The sequence below is a fragment of the Homo sapiens genome, chromosome 4 (genome assembly GCF_000001405.40).
Source record: "Homo sapiens chromosome 4, GRCh38.p14 Primary Assembly".
Classification (NCBI taxonomy): domain Eukaryota; kingdom Metazoa; phylum Chordata; class Mammalia; order Primates; family Hominidae; genus Homo; species Homo sapiens.
In genome coordinates, this window is record NC_000004.12 from 36151168 (window position 1) to 36172001 (window position 20834).

General features: G+C 35.9%; 1 protein-coding gene across 17 annotated transcripts in view; it reads right to left on the reverse strand.

The window, feature by feature from the left end:
* The window catches only part of ARAP2 (ArfGAP with RhoGAP domain, ankyrin repeat and PH domain 2), a 239381-nt gene that overhangs the window by 145764 nt on the left and 72783 nt on the right, over window positions 1-20834 (reverse strand). For 16 of the 17 annotated variants that reach the window (XR_007096351.1, XR_007096352.1, XR_007096353.1 and 13 more), the window contains exons 10-15: window positions 15765-15880; window positions 13747-13946; window positions 10298-10383; window positions 9292-9474; window positions 8164-8338; window positions 7563-7697 (exon numbers count right to left, since the gene is read on the reverse strand). Coding sequence is in view for 7 of the 17 variants with exons in the window: in XM_047449575.1 (XP_047305531.1) it covers window positions 7563-7697; window positions 8164-8338; window positions 9292-9474; window positions 10298-10383; window positions 13747-13946; window positions 15765-15880 (895 nt within the window). In the remaining 10 variants the exon portion in view is untranslated. Of the gene's footprint in view, window positions 1-7562; window positions 7698-8163; window positions 8339-9291; window positions 9475-10297; window positions 10384-13746; window positions 13947-15764; window positions 15906-20834 lie in introns of all 17 variants that reach the window. The other variant, XR_001741123.2, reaches the window with a different exon arrangement.

Consider the following 20834-nt stretch of genomic DNA (forward strand, 5'->3'; position numbering starts at 1 on the left):
CATAAAGTATATGTTATTGCTGCATGGGATATAAAGTTGTCACATTCTCTGCTCTCCAAAGAATTTACAATCTAGTAGCAAGGAATGTACAAAACAAAAATGACTGTGACATTGATAACCAGAGAAGGCAGAGCTGTAAAGAGGTTGCTGAAAAACAACTCTGAAGCTGCAAAGAATAAAATGTCTGTAGAGTATTAAAAGGAAAACAAAAACGTAGCATGAAAAGTGAGACTGCAGCTTGTGGTAGGTATGCAAAGGAAGAAGGATCAGAATCTGCACGGCCCTTAATGCTTGTTCAGAAGATTTCAAATTCATCTTATACTGAAGTCAGCACATTACCACCTGCAGGCTAAATCAGAACATCACCTAAAATATAGATTAGATCTACAGACATTAAGACTACTAAGGTCTATATATTAGATATAATGGATAAAGTCTATATATTAGATAATTTCTGAAGCTGGATTACTGTTCTGTGGTTACTTTAGGGCATTATTTATAAAAGCCTTTCTTTTTAAGAAATGCATACTGAATTACTAAAGGTAAAGTGGTATCATGTCTGCAACTTACTTTTAAGTGTGCATATAAAGTGTGAGATAAATATATACCCGTATATACATACATATGATACATATGTATGTGTATTATACATAGGCATATATATACACATACTCAGAAAGAAAAATACAGCAAATGTAAAATGCTAATAATTGATACATCTGGGTAAAATGTATATGAGAATTATTTGAGCTATTCTTAGAACTTTTCTGTAAGTCTCAAATTATTAGTCAAACTAATTTAAAAGTTTAAGAATATATTAAACTAATTTCAAATTTTTCCTTTAGCATATGATTAGAATCTTAGGTGGGTGTGGGGGTGACATGAAAGAAAATAAGACAATGTATTTGGCTTCAAAAAACAATCACAAGGAGTAACCATTAAAACAGTGACACCTAGAGAGCTAGATAGGACACAGTATTCTGAAAATGAATTACCAAATGAAAAGTCCAATCATAACTGGCAGAAGCAAATAGCATAAACGAATCCTTTATGGACAATGGAAAAGAAAGTTAACAGAGACCAAAGCAATTCCTGGTCAAAGGTGAAATATAATTCCAGGGCCCTCAAATCTTGAGTCACAGTGTATGTCCTGCACAGTTAGATAAAAATCATGAAAAGCCACAATTTTTAAATGAACACTCATTGTGAGTTTCTAAAATATAAGAAAAGGTAAAGTCAAAATACGAATCAAAGGGAGTTTGGAAGTAATTTCAAAACAATGTATTCAGACGTCTAGAAGAATCTTTGTAAGAGAATAAATAAAAAATGCATAATTATTCAGTACATAGATAATCACTGGCATAGATTAGGAGATCCACCCCTGTTCTCAGGCAGCTTATAATCCAATGAAAGGGGAGATGTGTCCAAAATGATAATCAGCAGGTTGTCTCTTTAGTAGATTAGAAGCATTCAAGGAGGTAAGCCCCCCCACCATACTGAAGTGATAAAAAAAAAAACTGCAAAGAAAAATGTCTATAAAATAATCCCTTACGATTTAGGAGCCATGTTTCTAAAGTAGCAAAAAATGCATTCAGAGCTACAATCCTTCCATAATATCAGGAAAGAACAGTATGAGGGAAGTCATAGAAAGGTGAAACTGCAAAAACCCTATTTGCCCAGAGAATCAGATTACACGTGAAGTTGGGAAATGGGAAACAAGATTGCAGGTTCATGGCAGAGGCCAGACCCTAAGAGTCTCACTTGATGGGTGTTCAGGAGTTTGTGCCTCTCTCACTTAGACAAGTGGGAGCCATTCAAAGGTCTTAAACAAACAGTGCCAAATGAATTAAGCATAACATAAATGTGACTGCAGATCTCATTATGTAAATTCTAATGGGAAACAAATGACAGATCTCTTTAAAAGGGTATGTACAAACTCATTTTCAGTTAGAATAATAAGCTTGAGGAGAGTCAGTCCTGTAGCATTTTCATTTCTGTAACCATTTCTTAGCTTTATTTTTGTAAGTGAAATGGGCCAGAAGTCAGACAAGGCAGGTGCACGTATTGTCTTTGAGGGTTTATAATAACAAAGCTGTGACAGGAAATCGTGACATTCCCATTGATATGGGAAGCAATTTAAAGGTTTAACAAGATTATATTGAATGATACTGGTCTGTTTGGGCCAATTTAGATATTCACTCCTAAATCTGACTTTGAGAAATGTCGGTACCCTCCATGAAACCCTCTCTGCTCCACAAGTCATTTTAATTGTTAAAGGAAGCTGTCTACCAACATAAAATTGGGGCCACAGAATGAATGACACTCAGGACTTAGCTGTTCCATAAACAGGAACTTATATGTAAGATGCAAGTAAAGTTAGTGGATTGGCAAGAGGGATTATTCATTCTTTCAATTCAATCTTCATGTTGAGATCAGTGAAGAAAAACATTACGACAGGATTTACTCAAGCACAGGTAAAGAACTCCCCAGAGGTGACCCACTGAAATGCTACCATGGAATGATATGCGTAATATAGTTGGATACCTTGATTGTCAGCTACAGCCTACAGGACAACATACCTAAACTCATAGGCTAACTGGAAGCCAGGGGAAACTGTTTAAACATAAGCCCTTCACTACTCCTCCTCTTCATCATCATCATCATATTTATGTGCCATGCACTGTTCATGCTTTAACTCATTGAATCCTCAGACCAACCCAATTATGTCAGTTATGTTGTTCCCCTTCCTTGTACCCTTTTCACTGGCACATAACAGTTAATCGACATTCCTGAGGTCACACTAAGTATTTAGCATCAGAGCTGGGGAAGGAACTCCATGCAATTGGGTTCTGAAAGTTGCTGCTTTAACCTAACAGGCAGGTGGGTTCTGGAAGCTGCCCTCTTTATGCTTGCAAACAGTTACTCACTGTATCTGTTATATGCTTGAACTATATACATTCAACTCAAAAAATGTATTACGGTAAAGAATGTGTACAATACATCTGAGGTAGTTAAGACAAAACTATTATTTTTGAAACTATGAATTTGCTTCATGTTGAGGAATTTCCTAAATTAATAGTATTCGGCACCCACTACAAACAGTAAGATACATTAGTAATCCTTTTCATTTAAAATACATGTGATTTAGCCTTGGAAAAACATGTTTAAGCTATACAATCTAGGATTTCACAGAACAAAATATCTTCAAAATTCCTCAATGCTAATTTACAAAGTTAAATATAAACAGAAATAGAATTTCTAGTAATCCAAATCAACCACTTTCTTTTTGAAAATCAAATACTATGTAAACAAATCAAGGTAAGATATCAAGGGAAAAAATATGGTTGAGGTGGGAAAAGGGAAAACAAAACCAGGATGCTATTATTCAACTGTGTACTTAGGTTCAACAAAAGCAATCCATCTTTCTTTTCATGAACACTAAATTGAAAAGGAAAAAAAAAAGAAAGAAAAATACAGATCAGTCTTTATAACCAGAGGCCAGAAAAACTTCAAATCTTAAAAACCTGAACTGACAATTTGAAGCCTCTGTAACTCTGGGACTGCATGCATTTTATTCCCAGACTTTTGTCTTTGTTTTTAATCATTTTGCTCTATGGCTGTCCTGACAAGTGCTGATGGAGTGGTAGCATCCAGGTGCTTGCTTTCAGAGGCAAAGGTGACAACCACACTTTAATCTCTAAAACTTTCCAAATAATTCATTTTTTTCCATAAATCTGATGTTCAACAGAAACAACACTATTGCACAAACTTCAAGGGTGAAAAAGAAACAAAATCAGAAGTTTTTCTGGATAGTTCAACTTTTCCTGTTTATTTGTAAATAGGGGCTTTCTGCACAAGATATGCTTTGTGCCAGCAATTATATCTTTTTATCCACAGATCAAAACAAAAATATTGATATATGAGTCACCCATTTACACTAGTAGTAACTTCCCTAAAAAATGATTCTTCATTCATTCCACAAATATTTATCATGTCCTACCATGTGCTGACACTGTTTGGGGTATCAAAGATTTGATAATCCTTGACAAGCTAGAAAAAGCTGATGCCTCATTGAGCTTTCACTTCAGGGGGAAAGAGAAACAAATAAATGGAAACAGGATCATCTCCATGTGATCAGTGGTAGGACAAACATACACAGCATCCTATGAAAGAGAAGGGCTGGCAGTGGGCTCACACTTTAGCAGGGTGCCAGAGAGGCCTCACTAACTAGGGGGCACTGAATTGATTCCTGAATAAGAAGAAGGAACCAGACTGAGGGAAGTGCCCTCTTTGCATAGGGAACAGCAGGTGAAAAGGTCCAGAAGAGGCAGAAAAGGACTTGGCATGTTCCAGGAATAAGGAGGAAACCAGTGCAGCCAGGCAAGTAACCATGTAGAGGACCACACCACCATGGAGAAGAATAACAGTAGATGCAGGAGATGAAGGGAGGGAGGTACAAGAAGGTCTTTTTTATTTTTTATTTATTTTTTTTTTTATTTTTAATTTTTTTTTTAGACCGAGTCTCGCTGTGTCTCCCAGGCTGGAAGTGCAGTGGCGCAATCTCGGCTCACTGCACGCTCTGCCTCCCAGGTTCACGTCATTCTCCTAAAAAGGTCTTTTAGGTCACAATAAAAAATAAGGTTATATTCTGGAATGAGGAGCCAGTAAGTATACTTGAGCAATGGAATTACATGATCAGTTTTCCTGTTTGGTTGTTGTTGCTGTTTACTTTTAGAAGACACGGTCTTCCTATGTAGCCCAAGCTGTGTTCAAGCAATCCTCCTACCTCAGCCTCCTGACTACCTGTGTGATTTCCATTTTTAAAGATAATTGGCTGGGCACAATGGCTCATGCCTGTAATCCCAGCACATTGAGAGGCTGAGACAGGCAGATTACTTGAGGTTAGGAGTTCGAGACCAGCCTGGTCAACATGGTGAAATCTCATCTCTACTAAAAATACAAAAATTAGCTGGGTGTGGTGGTGGATGCCTATAATCCCAGATATTCAGGAGGCTGAAGCAGGATAATTACTTGAACCCAGGAGGCAGAGGTTACAGTGAGCTGAGATTGTGCCACTGCATTCCAGCCTGGGTGACAGAGCAAGAGAAAGAAAAAGGAAGGAAGGAAAGAAGGAAAGAAGGAAGGAAGGAAGGGAGGGAGGGAGGGAGGGAAAGAGAGAGAGAGAGAGAGGGAGGGAGGGAGGGAGGGGGAAAGAGAGAGAGAGAAAGAAAGAAAGAAAGAAAGAAAGAAAGAAAGAAAGAAAGAAAGAAAGAAAGAGAAAGAAAGAAAGAAAGAAAGAAATGAAAGAGAAGAAAGAAAGAAAAAGGAAGGAAGGAAGGAGGGAGGAAGGAAGGAAGGAAGGAAAACAAAGATAAGCCTCTTTTTTGGAGACAGTTTTGAAGGGAAGCTAGGGTAAATACAGAAAGACAATTAAGGAAGGCACTGCAGCACAGGTAGGTCAGGATGGTGACTGTGGCTGGGAGGACTTCAGTGGAAATGAAGAGTAGCCAACTGCTTTAAGATCTATTTTGAGTTTGAAATGATAGAATTTGCTGGTAAATTGGATGGAAGATATTAAGACAATCAAAGAATACCCTGCCAGATTATGTTCACTAAAATCATTGCTATTGAATTATACAGACAAAATACAAAAGCTCACTTTCGTATTACCTAAAATGCAATGTTTTAAAATGGAAAAATATCCCTAGTTAAATTACATATACAGATAACGCATCAGTTTCTTTTTTAAATAAATTTTAACCAAAAATCCATTGTTAATATATTCAAAAAAGGAATTATTTAGTTACAATTGTTTATTACATCAATGAGGTACTCAAGTAAATTTAAAAACCAATCTGTTTCAAGAAAATATTAAAGAAGACTAGTAATTTTATAAATATTATAACCACAATTGCCAAAAAATAAAATAAAGCTTATTTTTAAACTGCAGAATGCTTACAACATATTGAAAAGCCTTAGGAAGAAAATCTCGTGTTTCAATCCCCATTTGATCTTTATAAAAGTTAAGTGGTTTGAAGAGTAAGTCTGTGATATCCCAGTATTTAGAAGAAACATTCTCCTAAACTTTTATGAAAGTACCGTAATTATTTTGATGATTGATATAGTCAATTCACAGACTGTCCAAGAACTTTCATCTTCTGATCACTTATCTTTTAACTACTTAGGGATAATACTGACAGTAAAAATGGAAGACAAAAAAAAAAAAACTCAGTAAAATCTGACATTTATTATTGGTTAGGCTGAGTAAAGGATGACAAAAACCAATTGTCGAAAGAACCAAAAACATCTAATTCAAAGGATAAAAATGCTCGGCCATTCTACTGTCATCTGGCTGTCACGCTTTGACCAAAGCCAAAGTGCTCCTGTAACAATGATAACACAAATCAGGTGTAAAATTCTGCTTCACGCCGAGCTTCACTATTCAGGTGAAAACTGACATCACATCAACGATCTTGCAGACTTTCATGAGGATTACAATTAATGTATATAAAGTATCTAAAGCCATGCCTTACACATAGTACATACTCACTCACTACAGGACAGCTATTCTTTTCAGGAAAATCTAATAATGCATAGTTAATCCCAACATAATTCTGCTTTAGGATATATTATATATATATATATTTGGAAATAAAGCTTTTATATTGAAATAAGAACTTCAAATCACATATATGAGGATTAACACTCTACAGTGAGTTTGTCATCCTATCATTCTTTTGATTGAGTAATATCACTGAACTATACCACCTAGTGAATACTAGGCTCCCGAGCCCGATCAATGGCCACCATCAATTGGCATGTACAGCTTAATCTCTCTTACACTCTTTGTTACAGTAAGGCAGACTGCATTATATTTTCCTGCCTATATTTCTTAGATTTGTTCCAATGTATATACATGAGCATAAGGACTGTGTCTTAGTCATTTCTAAAATCCCGATACATAGCATTGGTTTGACACAAGGAGTTGGAAGGATAAATGAATAAATGCCCCATTGTAACTCTGCTCAGATAATTCCCCAAACCTAGAATATATTGTTAAATCAGATTCCCATCATTTTTTGAAACCAAGCTTAAGTTTTATTTTACTTAAACACACACACACACTTTTCATCAGAAAAAAAAAACCTGAACTATTTGATATTACTTAGTACTCTAATTGAATATGTACTAAAAACCTGCATTTCTTCCTATGTGTTCACATTTATCTACATTATCTGGTGAGCCAGTTGGGGTGTCCATCCCTAAGGAAAGGGGCTGAGTTATAAAGGAATAACCTTTATAACTTGAAACAGAATTGGTTAGCCTTAAGGTAGACATAAGTGAATTCTGTTGAGAATTCACTCAGCATTCCAACCAATGGTAAATCCCTGCTGCAGTACATGAAATAATATTTGCACCTAGAAGCATTTATAAATCCTCAAAAATATCTCTACTTGGAGATCAAATCTAACATCTCAAAAAAATCAAAATCTAAACCTAATTGTTTTGATAATGGAATAAAGTTTTTATCTGATAATATCTAAAAAGAAGAGAAAAAATACCTTCAAGCAGTTTTTTCTCTGAAGAGAGTTTAGAAGCAGCAGAAGGAGCTTGATATAAAAAGTCACAGAGGAATGTGGACTGGGAAGACTCTTGACTTAATACACCCTCGGAATGAATATCATGTTGAGGGAAATCTAGAAAAATTAAAGAAATAAGGCACAAGAAATCTAAAATGTAAACAATTTTCCTTTTGTTTATAATATGTACATGAGTTTTGAGCTAGAAGAAAAACTACTTCAAATTTACCAAAGAATAATTACAGAGATACTTATTTTACTTTGCATAAAATTTGCAAATAAGCACTTAAGTCATATTTATTATTCATATATGAAAATCGGATTTAATGTTGGTGGAAATGATTATGTGGGATTAGCTATTTTAATCTTACATTTATAAGATTACGGGAACATAAAAGATTGACTTCCTAAACTTTTCATTGAAATGATATAAAAAATAGTCTTAGGCATCTCCATCTTTTTGGTAATTACATTTTTCTTCATTCTGATGGTTTCTCTTATTTGAAAAATCAATAGATTTATGCTTCAGTCCTTTTACGGATCTATCAGAAGAGACCAGGTTAATGAAGAGACAGTGACGAACCTGAGAATTTGTTATGGTAGAGAAATTCCATTTGCAGACTTTGCCCAGCTTTCTTGGCTAGCAGATAGGGGGTGCTATGCACGGGGTCTCCGGTGGCACACATGACATCTGCTCCACTGAACAGCAAAGCCATTGTTTCTAGAACATCCGGTTTCACTACAGCAGCACATAGAGCCTGGTCATTAAAAGAAAATATACATCTTAAGGAAAGAAAATAAGATTCTAGCTATTAAAATGAGTGAAAGTCTGATAATTTCATGTATGGGATAAAGTCTGTATTCCTTTTATCCTAAGGCGGCTAATAATAATTATGCCATGAATTAGGCAATAGGCACAAAAGGCCTGGTTTATGTGAATTTAAATTACAACCCAAGACCTCCAGGTCTCAATTCATTGTTTGGTTGCTATGATGTTCCTTCTAAACCTAATCCATCATACTTGCTTTGGAAGACATTTTTATGCTTACATACTATGATAATGACTGATGCGCAGAGAATCAAAATATTTCAATATAATAATGAAGTAACCATTAAGTGTTTTTCATGTGAATGTTAATATATATTTTCCAATCTAATCAGGAGCTGCAGAATATTTGAATTATTAAGTGCTATGGGAAATTGAAAGATGAGTGCAAAGCAAATTCAGGATCTTCCCCTCAGGGGCCGAGGATAGGAAGGAGGAAGAACAGTGAGAAGGCGGCAATAAAAAATATTATTGACTTATGTTATATATCATCTTTGTACAAACAATAGGAACTGTTAGAATCCTTTTTTTTTCTTTTGCCTTGAAATAATAAGCTGCCTCTACATCTCTTCTCATCCTTTCTTCCCACATTATATCAGTCCTCAGACTTCACTTTACTGGATCCCATTTGCTTCCAAATCCTCAGATTGTGGCAACAAGAGTTAGCAGGAAACTTCAATTATGGAGGAAGAATTTATGCTCTTTTGACAATGAATCCTTAAATGAAACAAGGGGGAAACCACTGAAATAATGTCACAAAAGGAAATAAAATAAAATTAATAATTTTGTCAGATAGTATAAAATTTTTTACTTTTTCTCAAGAATCTTGGCACATCATTAAAAAGACATTAAAATCCACGTCTGCTGTTATGTTTAATTGAATACCTTATTTAATTCTTCTTTGGTGAGAGATGCCAAAAGAGTTTTTCTGAATTTTCCTTCTTTATATTTCTGAGTAATAAAGTTTTTTCTCTTTTCTACTGGTGAGTCCATATGTAATTCTTCATCCTTTTGAAGATTACCAGCCCAAAAGTCATTTGCTCTTTTGTTTCCAATGACAATAAAAAGCTGAATTGTCAAAAAAAAAACCCCATAATATATCAGTTCATAAAATATATTTGAATCTGCAGGAAACTGAATTATATTACAAATTAAAGCATAACTTAGTATAAAATACAGGAAAACACATGAAAGACTCAACTATTCCAGAAAAAGGAAGTATGAAAGCAGATACTATGATCAGTTTTTAATACAGCCTACCCACTCTAAATAATGGAGAAAAATTAGCTTGGAAAGAATTGCAAACAACACAAATTGTAGCAAAAGTATTTTCATTCTTTGACACTCAAACTGAGACAGCTTCACTTTAAATGGCCGAGTAGGTGGGCTAATGCTGTCTGAAGTGCTTGGTGGTGGAACAAGGAGCCAAAAATGGAGACAGGACACAGCAAAGTAGCCTCCATCACAGTTAATGACAGAGTACGGCCAAGGTAAAAACAGTAAATTTTTCCAAATGTTTTCATTCACTCTCCTATTATTTTACCCATGTTGGGTTTAAAACACACACACACAAACACACACACACACACACACACACACACACACACACACACACATATACAGTTCTAGCATTAAAAAAAAACAAGCTGGCAAACCTTTCTAAGTACTTATTAAGGATCTTCTATACTTTTAAAATAACTATCTCATTTAGGAAGCATTCTCAAAGAGTTACTACTATCAAAAAGGCTATAAGCCACTTCCATAATGTGGTGAGAACTTTATCAAACAGCCCCGAGAAAAATTCCTGCCACCCAAACCCACAGCAAACCTCCTCCCAGTCTCTGCAAACTGAACCCCTATCACAACCCCATTCAGGTTAAATAGGACTCACCTCGATGAGTTCATTGCTCCAAATGCTAGCATCCATTTTTAGACTTCTAACCTTGGAATCTTTTGGTCCTAAAGATCTATGCTGTCCTAGAGTCAAAACACAATTGCATTTCTATTTTAATTTGTATGTAAATTTATTTTACCTTGTTTTGAAAGAAAGTGCATATGTCTGTGTATGTTCGTTGCGTATCTTCTCAACTTAAAACACACCAATACCTGCTTTCCTCAATAACAAGATGACAAGAGCACTAACAGTAGTGGTGAGAATTAGACAAATCGCAGCTGGCTACAATAAAAACAGCAGCAATCATCATCAGCATCTGCACTGACAAAAAAAAAAAAAAAAAAAAAAAAAAACTACACGGCCTGGCGCGGTGGCTCACGCCTGTAATCCCAGCACTTTGGAAGGCCGAGGCGGGCGGATCACGAGGTCAGGAGATCGAGAACATCCTGGCTAACAGGGTGAAACCCCGTCTCTACTAAAAATACAAAAAATTAGCCGGGCGAGGTGGCAGGCACCTGTAGTCCCAGCTACTCGGGAGGCTGAGGCAGGAGAATGGCGTGAACCCGGGAGGCGGAGCTTGCAGTGAGCCCAGATCTTGCCACTGCACTCCAGCCTGGGCGACAGAGCGAGACTCCGTCTCAAAAAAAAAAAAAAAGAACTACACTTACTTAAATATATATATATATATATGTGCATGAGTGCATATGTACAGACACATGTATAAATATTTCCTCATTTGGTAATCAGCTAGAAATAGGCCACTGAAAACCTTTTGTAAAGCTTGCTAAAACCCCACGTATGTAAATGCAGATAATATTTCTTTACTGTTACAAAAACTTGACTATTGAAAAACTAGTTACATGTCTAATAAGTGTGTACTTAAAAATCTGACATGAATACTTTATTCAGCAAATATGTCTGGAAGAAAGTAAGAGCCCAGAATTTTATTACTGTCAATTCAATTGTGCTGTATAAATCATCATTCAGTCATCACTGAGCAACCAGGCTATGTCAGATTATTTCAAAGCTGAGAAGGAAAAAAAGTGTACAGTCCACTATCCTTGATCTTAAGGGCCCTTTGTCTAATGAACAACGAATGTTCATTCCTTTCCCTACAATAGGTAAGAAGTTCTTGTCTTTTTTTTTTTTTTTAAGTAGAAACTATTCAAAGCACAAAGCCCTAAATTCCCCTGGAAGAAATCTGCATAGGTTTGCATTTATAATGACTACCTACAGGCAATACAGTACCCAGCAGGTAAAAACTTAAAAGCCTGTAGGAAGAGATGAAAGGGACTGCTGCAGTAACCTAGGCATGACAGATTCTGAGTTGAGGCAGCAGGAAAATAAAATGGAGCAGACAGATTGAGAGAGATTGATAAGATAAAATGAATGAGACTTGGTGGGTTTGAAGGAAAGAGGAAGAGTCAAGAAGGTGTCTCAGATTTTAGGCTTTGAGTGTGCAGCGTAGACAGTATTGCTTTTGACCAAGATTGAGAATATATGAAAATGTGCAGTTTTATGAAATGGGCTGAGGGGAACAACGATGGCTCCATTTTTGACATGTTACATTTGAGGTGTATTTGGCAAATCTAAGTAGAGATTCTAGTAGGCATATAATCATAAGAGTTTGGTGTCCAACAGCGTGAGAATCATTTGCTTAAAAATGAGTGTGGAATTAAAGTGATAAATAATATCACTCAGGAGCAACACAGTAAAAGAGAAGTGAGAATGTAACCCAAGGGAACACATGTATTTCACAAGCATGGAAATACATGGGAAAAAAAATACTGGAAAAAAAAAGACTGGTAATAAGAACACAAAGAGAGACTGGTATCTTGGAAGCTGAGAGAGGATGGATGTCATAGAGAGACATGTTGTCGAGACACTCAAATAAAGAGACAATAATAAAGATAGTAAGTGACCACACCGAAACTGAGAGGTAAAATACGTTGGTAAATGTGGTGAAAAGATTTTTACCACAGTTGAGAGAAAAGGTAGCTCATCAGCAGTTAAAAGGTAGCTGATTACAGAATGCTGAAGAAAACTTAGGAAGTTAAAGGAATGAAAAAAAACCTATGCACACTACAACTTTTCATAATATCTTGTCTATGAAAGAAAAAGGGGACAGAGAATGACACATAGAAGGAAATGGATAACTTTTAGAAATCCTGATGGTGGTAATGAGACAAACTTGTGCAAGTTTATACAATGAAACAAAAGAAACCATGGCTAAATACTTACATAAGAGAGTGAATAAATGACGAACATGTATCCTAAGGAGGGAAGAAAGAAAGGAAGCAAAGGTAGAAAAAAACAGCTGTGAACAGCACAAAGGCCGTCTCTTCCAATGAAACTGGAGAGAAGAAAAGGATGGGATAAAATTCAAAGTAGAAGGTGATTCACTGGCATTTTTTGTTGTGATTGATATTATTAATTAGCTGGTGAGGAAATCTATCTTAGTTTGATGAGAAATGCAGTTGAATAGTGCTCTAGAAAAGCGTTCAGGATTTGAAGCAACTCCTGTGACTGCACTACTCACTGCGCTCTAGCTGAGGTAGGAACTCCTCTCCAGCATTCTCACTGAAGCCTGTATTCAACTCTAGTCCAACATTTGTCTCATTATTGTGGAGGAAATGTCATGTCTTATACATGTTTTTAATTCCCCGCACCAGCACAGTGCCTAGTACTTGAGTTGAATTCTCTCTCTCTGTCTCTCTCATCTGTGTTTGTGTGTGTATGTGTGTGTGTACATACAGTGGGGGAGAAGGTGGTGGGACACAGGCAGTCCAGGATAACTGAAGTTTAGACTGTGGTTAACTTTCTTCAAAACTTCCATGATCACACACCTAAGCTGGGGTCCACTTCCTTCCACTCACTTGGGCAACTGTCTGAGCTCTCAAATACACTGAGATGTCAGGTTGTCCAGTGTGAGGTCACAAGAAGAAAACCAGTCATAGTACTGGTTTATATTCATAAACATCAATAGTCTTGTGAAATGCTTCTTTATAAAAATTCTTATTTTAAGAGGTACCAGATCTGGCATATGAAGTTTAGTGCTCAAAACAACACTGAGGTGAAAAATATGTCTTACCAAAAATGACTGGGGAAAGGTGGACAAATCTTCAAGTTAAAGATGCAAGCTTCTTCAGGATCCATACTAAAACATACTCACCTAAAATCTAGAATTTTCAACACTGTCTTTTTAAAATCTATACATGGACCAGTAGGCATAAAATATGATTGCATGCTTAAAAATCCATTTTTATATCCAAGTCATACATAAGAGAAGTTTAGACTCATATTTCTGAATTTGATTTAAATGTAATAAGCTTTCTCTGGTTTTACTTCTCATAACCATTAGCTAGGATATATAATATGCAACAATGAAGAGCATTCAATGCCAATCTGCCACAAAGCTGTGATGAGCATAACTTGTCACTAATTACCTGCACACTTCTTACAGATGACAACACAGAGATTGATGGATGCCCAGTCAGGATCTGGGGCTTTACAATCTGCACAGCTCCTGTTGGATTCATTGAACCAAATCTTCTCAGCTACTTCATAATCAGAGAGAGTTTCTGCTATTGATTGCTGCACAGCTTCAATCCAGTCTTGTTTCTCCTTTTCAGTCTCGGCTGTAAAGCTGAAACAATTAACGTTTCTGTGTTATCGATCTCCCTTGTAAAGGCCAATTAAGCAGTATGTTCAGTTTGCATATTCATTTCACTCACAAATTAAACAACAGCTGAAAAATATGGCTGCTAGGCAGTTCTGGGTTGTCTTTTCTGTTAAAAATCATTTAACTTCGTCTTTTTTCCTTTTAATTTTCCACACTGTTTATGTCTTTGTTTATGCATCTTGAACCAAAATTAACATACACATTTTCTAAACAAAACATAAAATTTGCCTTGTTAGGTCACAAGCCTAAACAAGAGGCTATGTTTCCTAAGCAATGGTTATGTAATCATCAATAAGAGGTTTTTGGCAGAGTTTCAGGGCTACTGGAATATTTTGCCAAGCAAGTATGCCATGATAGTCTGAAACTATGTTATCAAAAACACCCACCAGAATTGTGACTTTTTTTTCAGATTTAAGAATAGATTCTTTTTTTTTTTTAATTAGAAGAATGCCCAGATGGTTCTAAGGAACTGGGAAATCAAAAAAGTTTTAAGTGGTTACTATTCTAACAGTTTTCTAACACATTTTTAGCCACGTTCTGATTTATTCTGAATCTTAATGTTTACTGGGAACTCGAGTGAATGAATAAAAACATTAAACAGCAGTTCATTCCTTCAAGAAATATTTACTGAGCCCCTGCAATGTGCAAAGGAATGTGCTACAGTGCTACATACTTGGTCAATGACCCACAAAACTGATTCATATTAAAATTTTCTGTTGTAAAGAGGAACATGCTTTGAAATATAATGAAAATCACAGCTAACATATTCTAAATAATCCTTAAAAATAAATGGCCTACATGAATTATACTTTTTGAAGCTCTTTAGGATTCCATCACTCTCAGTGGTTTCTGGTTCTACTAGAAATTTGTCACAGCCAATATATTAATACCTATATTTTTAGTTTTGGCTAGAATCTGCAAATGTAAAAATAAAGCTTGTTAATTTTATGCAACCATTTCTTTCTCAAAATTTGAGGCAATGGATGTATTTTGACATGCAAAATGAGTAACTACAATTGACAGTATATTTGAAATTCCTAATTGTTAGTCCTTTAAAGGCCTAGAACAATTGCCTCTGACTTGCCCACTACCACGTGATGTTGATTATTTATAACAAACGAATTAATACAGTTGAACTCAAAAGATGTTGACTTATGCCTATTCTGTATACTAAAACTATAGAGTCATTTTAGTTTATTAAACCATATTAATACTTTAAATTATCTTTTTCATTGTCATAATGATGCAATTAGTAGAATACCATAATATGAGATATATAAAAAAATGCTAAAGTATTTGGATCAATAGGTGCTATGAGATTCATTAAATTTGGTATCATTTTAAGCCCTGGAGGAAATCATATGGAACAAATGTAATTAGGAATTGATTTTAAATGAGGGATTGTATTTGATCAGGCTAAAAGAAGATAAATAGCAATACAACTTAAAGACAATGTAATATGTTTTTATTTTATTCCTTCTAAATGAGAAGGAATTTATCACATATTTTCAAAAAAAAAACATACACCATGCCTAGTAAGAAAAATAAGTATTAAGAAATTACTCAAATTTCATGAAATACATATTTTTGCATGTTTTGTGATTATTGAGGTCACTTTTACAAGGTGTTTTTATATAGTGGCTAACAAATTAGACAATATGGAAAAGTAGGGAGATAATTTTAAATGGCCTACAAGAGAAAAATCACCACGAACAACATAAAGGTGGATCACCCAAGCTTTCCTATAGTAGTACGAACACAAAATGTTTAAAAATAGCTTACCTGAAACTCCTGTAGGGAGTGATTATTTCAAAAGATTGTTTCACAGTTCGGTCCACTTGCTTTACATTTGCTACATTCATAGGAATTATGGTAATACCAAGTCCACTCTTAAAATCCTAGTTTGGAGAAAAACATAAAAAACTATAAAGAAACAAAAAAAAAGATTTTGAAAGTATAATTACATTTTCTAAATTCCAATAAATTCTACCAAATTTTACAACAAAATCAGTCTCACTTTAGGTAGCCACTCTCAATACATAATAGCACTGGGCCAACTTAAGCTTGACAGTTGGACTATTGATAGCGTATGGGTTTCTTCCATGTGAAAGAAACATTGACTAGGCCACTGACACTGAACTAGACATGCTTTGCTTTTGAAAGTAGGCACAATATTCACCCTTATCCATTCATTAAAGGAAGCTAAATATTAACTACCTCTTATTGTATGTCAAGCAGTTTCCTAGGTGGAAATGATACTAGGAAGTTAGCATCATTACTAGTTATGTAAAAAGATGGGAAAACTGAGGCACAAAGGAAGAAGGTTACATGGAAAGTTCAGCTAGTTGTATGTGGTAGAAAAAAGATCTGGAGCCCAATCTGATTGCTCTTTCCTTGTTTTACTATCTTAGATTACCTCTGCTGTTTATCATTATTTTTCCCCTCATTTACTCTCCAACAAAAGCATTACTTGTCTTAGGAGATATACAATTTTACCTCATTTCCAATATTTTATTGCTTTCATCTCCCTTCAATCAGATTCCTAAAAGCTCCTCTAATGCTACTTTGGTATAAAAACTGCCATTTGTTCAAAATCTATAGTTACTATGTTCAGCTTGTCTCATGAAAATTCAAAATTGTTCAAAAGGCTACAACAGACTCTGCATTCTAAAAGCATTAAAGTTTGCAATACATCATCTACCCACATGGATTTCAGAATGTGACTTATCAATTAAATAATCTCCACACTTTACAAAACAATATGTACATCAAAAAATGACCTATTTGAATAAATTCAGACTAAATGTGCTCTGAATTCCTAAATTATGACTAAAGAAAAGTAGCAATATTAAAGGCAAAATACAAAAAAAAAAAAAATACTGGCCCATTTTCAGTAAGGACACTTGTTAGAGACTGTGAAAGAGCCATTCATCTGCCTCTTCTCTTTGTCTCTCCTGCTATATACGCCAAAAGTAAAAGAAGTGTATTCTCCTCTCCCCTACACTTAGAAGTGGCCATGTGTTGTAGTTTCCTTCAATCAAATTTAAGCAACTCCTGGTAGAATGGAAGAGGAGGGGCCGAAAAGCCTTAGAAGAAGAAAGCCTTTCAGCCCTTACTTTTCCATCTTCTGGGGAAGTAACTGCTAGAAGCACAGAGTCATTTTAGAACTTCACAATCCTAGAAAAGGGAAAATTGAGGACAAATTCTTAGGCTCTAAGGATGCGAAAGTGAGGACAAAAATAGGGAGAACCCTGTTCTCTGGCAGTACCAAGTCTTAACCGCCTACACCACCAGATTTGTTAAAACAAATCTCCATCTAGTTAAGCTCTTCTTCAGGTTTTTGTCATTTAGTACTAATGTGTTCCCGGCTTATAAAGTAAGTGGAAAAAAATAATTCTATAACAAATGCCCCCCAACTTGTAACAGTATCCAGAGTTTCCAGACGCAAATTGTGGGAAAGCCTCTTACATTTTTAATATATAAAGTTTTTAGTTAGAATAAGGAAATGACTCATTTAGAAAACAAATCATCAACCGAATTTTTTTTTCTGATGAAAGAACTAATGGTTCACTGTACTAGGAGAAACTAGCCAGAAACTGACAATCAGTGATATAAAAGAAAAGATGCAGAGAAATGCTGAGTGCTGTAAAATAATTAGAATGGGAGTGCCATACTTCCACTTTGTATAGTAAGCCCACTTAATGAAAAATGGCACTTAACATGATCTCTACGGAAGGAAGAAAATCAAGCTTTTCCAATCTGCCGCATTTTAATAAGTTTCAGCCTATTGGCACAGGGTTATACTTGATTATTATTTTTTTTAAATTCCCCAATTATCCACAGCTATACTCCTGCTGGATGACATACCCGTTGGATAAACTTCCAATGCATGTGATTGGGAACTCAATCTCTCTTTCACAAGTGAGGAAATTAAGTAAGGTAGCAGTAGCAAGATAAGATATTTTTAAAACAGCTTTTTGATGGCTCACATTGATACAGAAATAAACTTTAGAATAAATAAATAAACTCTAGAATAAATACGTGGACTGCATGTCCTTCAAACAATCCTCCATAATGAGGCATTTGACAAAAGCTGTGTATCAGATCATTCCAGGTTATATTCTCTGACGGGGGCCTGGCCTGTAAGTCCTGTATGTTACTAAGGGCACACATAATACTCTGACCATCATACTAGCAGATGGTAAGAATGACAACCTTTTATGGAAACTGATGAGCCTCATCAAGGCTCCTGCATGAATAGATGGCTGCTCATCTCCACAGAAAGTCATAAAATGTCCACATGTAAAGCTGTAATTTCTGTTAAAATAAGGGAGTGCTAGCTGGTTAACACCTCAAATTTCCCCCAAACAAGGCAAAGATGACTTTTTTTTTTTTTTTTTTGAGACAGTCTTGCTCTGTCACCCAGGCTAGAGTGCAATGGCACGATCTCGGCTCACTGCAACCTCGGCCCCCCCAGGTTCAAGAGATTCCCCTGCCTCAGCCTCCTGAGTAGCTGGGACTACAGGTGTGCACCACCAGGCCCAGCTAACTTTTTTTGTATTTTAGTAGAGACGGGGTTTCACCATGTTGGCCAAGATGGTCTCCATTTCCTGACCTCGTGATCTGCCTGCCTTGGCCTCCCAAAGTGCTGGGATTGCAGGCGTGAGCCACAGCACCACCCACTTATCAGCTGCTTGCCATGGCCATATGGTTTTGAGTAATTAGAGTATCTACAGAACTGACCAGCATAAATTGACTGGAAAATATACATAAGAGTAACACAATAAATGTCAGTGCTCTTGAGAGCTATCATATATGAAACAACTGCATTTTCTATTAAAAAACTGTGGACATTAAGCCATTATTTTCACAGTATTTAAATAGTATTTAGAACATGTTTAGAATACTTCTCATCCCTAGATACTCACAAAAATTACCTGTGGTGATCTCTCCCTCCCACCCAGAGACTCTGATTCCATGAATCTGGGGGCAGAACCTAAGAATTTTTAATTTCCAAAAACAAAAGTACAACCTCATGGCTTTTATATGTGGCCAACGCCAAGAAACACTGATTCAGATAGCAGAACCATTATGTAACTAATTTAGACAGTATAAGTATGCAATATGTAACTATCAAGACATAAATACTTCTCTCTTGACCAGGCAATGTGGCTCACACCTTAATCCCAACACTTTGGGAGGCCAAGGTGAGAGGATTGCTTGAGGCCAGGAGTTCAAGACCAGCCTGAGCAACATAGTGAGACCCTGTCTCTACAAACGAAAACCAAAAAGACTCCATTTTATCTGCTTCTGTAGAATGCATGCAATCAGAACATACAAAAACCAAAAACCATTTGAAATAATTAAGACTATCAATTTCAAATAAGCAGGCCAGAACAGGATGACACATTGGATTGGTGAGATCCTATTTGTCCTGGGTGCCAACTCCTGCATTAACGTCCAGAGGTGTTAAAAGCATCTGTCTTCATTAAGCATATAGAGTGGACTCTATAATTGGTTTAATATCTATCTGTGCATGCTATGAAGTTTACAAACAGCTATGAACTCTCGTTTGATTTCCTAAATAGTTCTGTGAAGTAAGCAGAGCAGCTACAGTCATTTTTTAATGGGAAAACAGTCCTGGCAAAGCAAAGCAGTGCTTAGTAAGTATCTAGTTGTGCCAGAAACTGTGCTTAGTCCTTTGGCTGCAAAAAAGCATAAGACTGGGTATCTGCCTTGAGGAAGCTTTTGGTCTAAAAATGAGATAACAGAAAAATGCAGTAGGTGGAAAAAAAAAAATGCCTGGTGGCCTGGTGGTAGGGGTACTGAATCCAACCCACAAGAGAGAGTTGTGTTCCTAACAGGCCTTCCAAAGACTGTGACATTTGACTGGCCAAAGGACAAAACCCAGACCAGGTTTATTATTCAGGTATTCCTCTCTCGCTTGTTCACTTATTTGCAAAATAGGGATAACAGTAGCACCTACAGCATCAGTTTCGTGAGGGTTAAATTAATGGAATAAAAATGTTTAAAAGATTATAAATCATGCTGCTATAAAGACACATGCACACGTATGTTTATTGCAGCACTATTCACAATAGCAAAGACTTGGAACCAACCCAAATGTCCAACAACGATAGACTGGATTAAGAAAATGTGGCACATATACACCATGGAATACTATGCAGCCATAAAAAATGAAGAGTTCATGTCCTTTGTACGGACATGGATGAAACTGGAAACCATCATTCTCAGCAAACTATCGCAAGGACAAAAAACCAAACACCACATGTTCTCACTCATAGGTGGGAAATGAACAATGAGAACACATGGACACAGGAAGGGGAACATCACACTCTGGGGACTGTTGTGGGGTGGGGGGAGTGGGGAGGGATAGCATTAGGAGATATACCTGATGCTAAATGATGAGTTAATGGGTGCAGCACACCAGCATGGCACATGTATACATATGTAACTAACCTGCACATTGTGTACATGTACCCTAAAACTTAAAGTATAATAATTAAAAAAAAAATGTTTAAAAGAATGCCTGGCATGCAGTAAGTACTACACAGGACTAGCTAGCTCTTGTTATTATTATTTTTATTTTATACCTTTTGAATTTGAAACCAACTGAACATAGTATCTATTTAAAACTTAATTACAAAAAAAAAGTCCTGTCCAAAAATAACTAGCAGGCATAATTTTTAAAAAATAGAATGCAATGTGAATGGTAAATGTTCAATTAAATTAAAAATAAATTGCCCATTAACTACAATCTGATAGCAAGCTTTATTCTTATTATGAAAAATAGGCATGAGCCAGGGATAAGCCAAACTATCAACCTTTAAA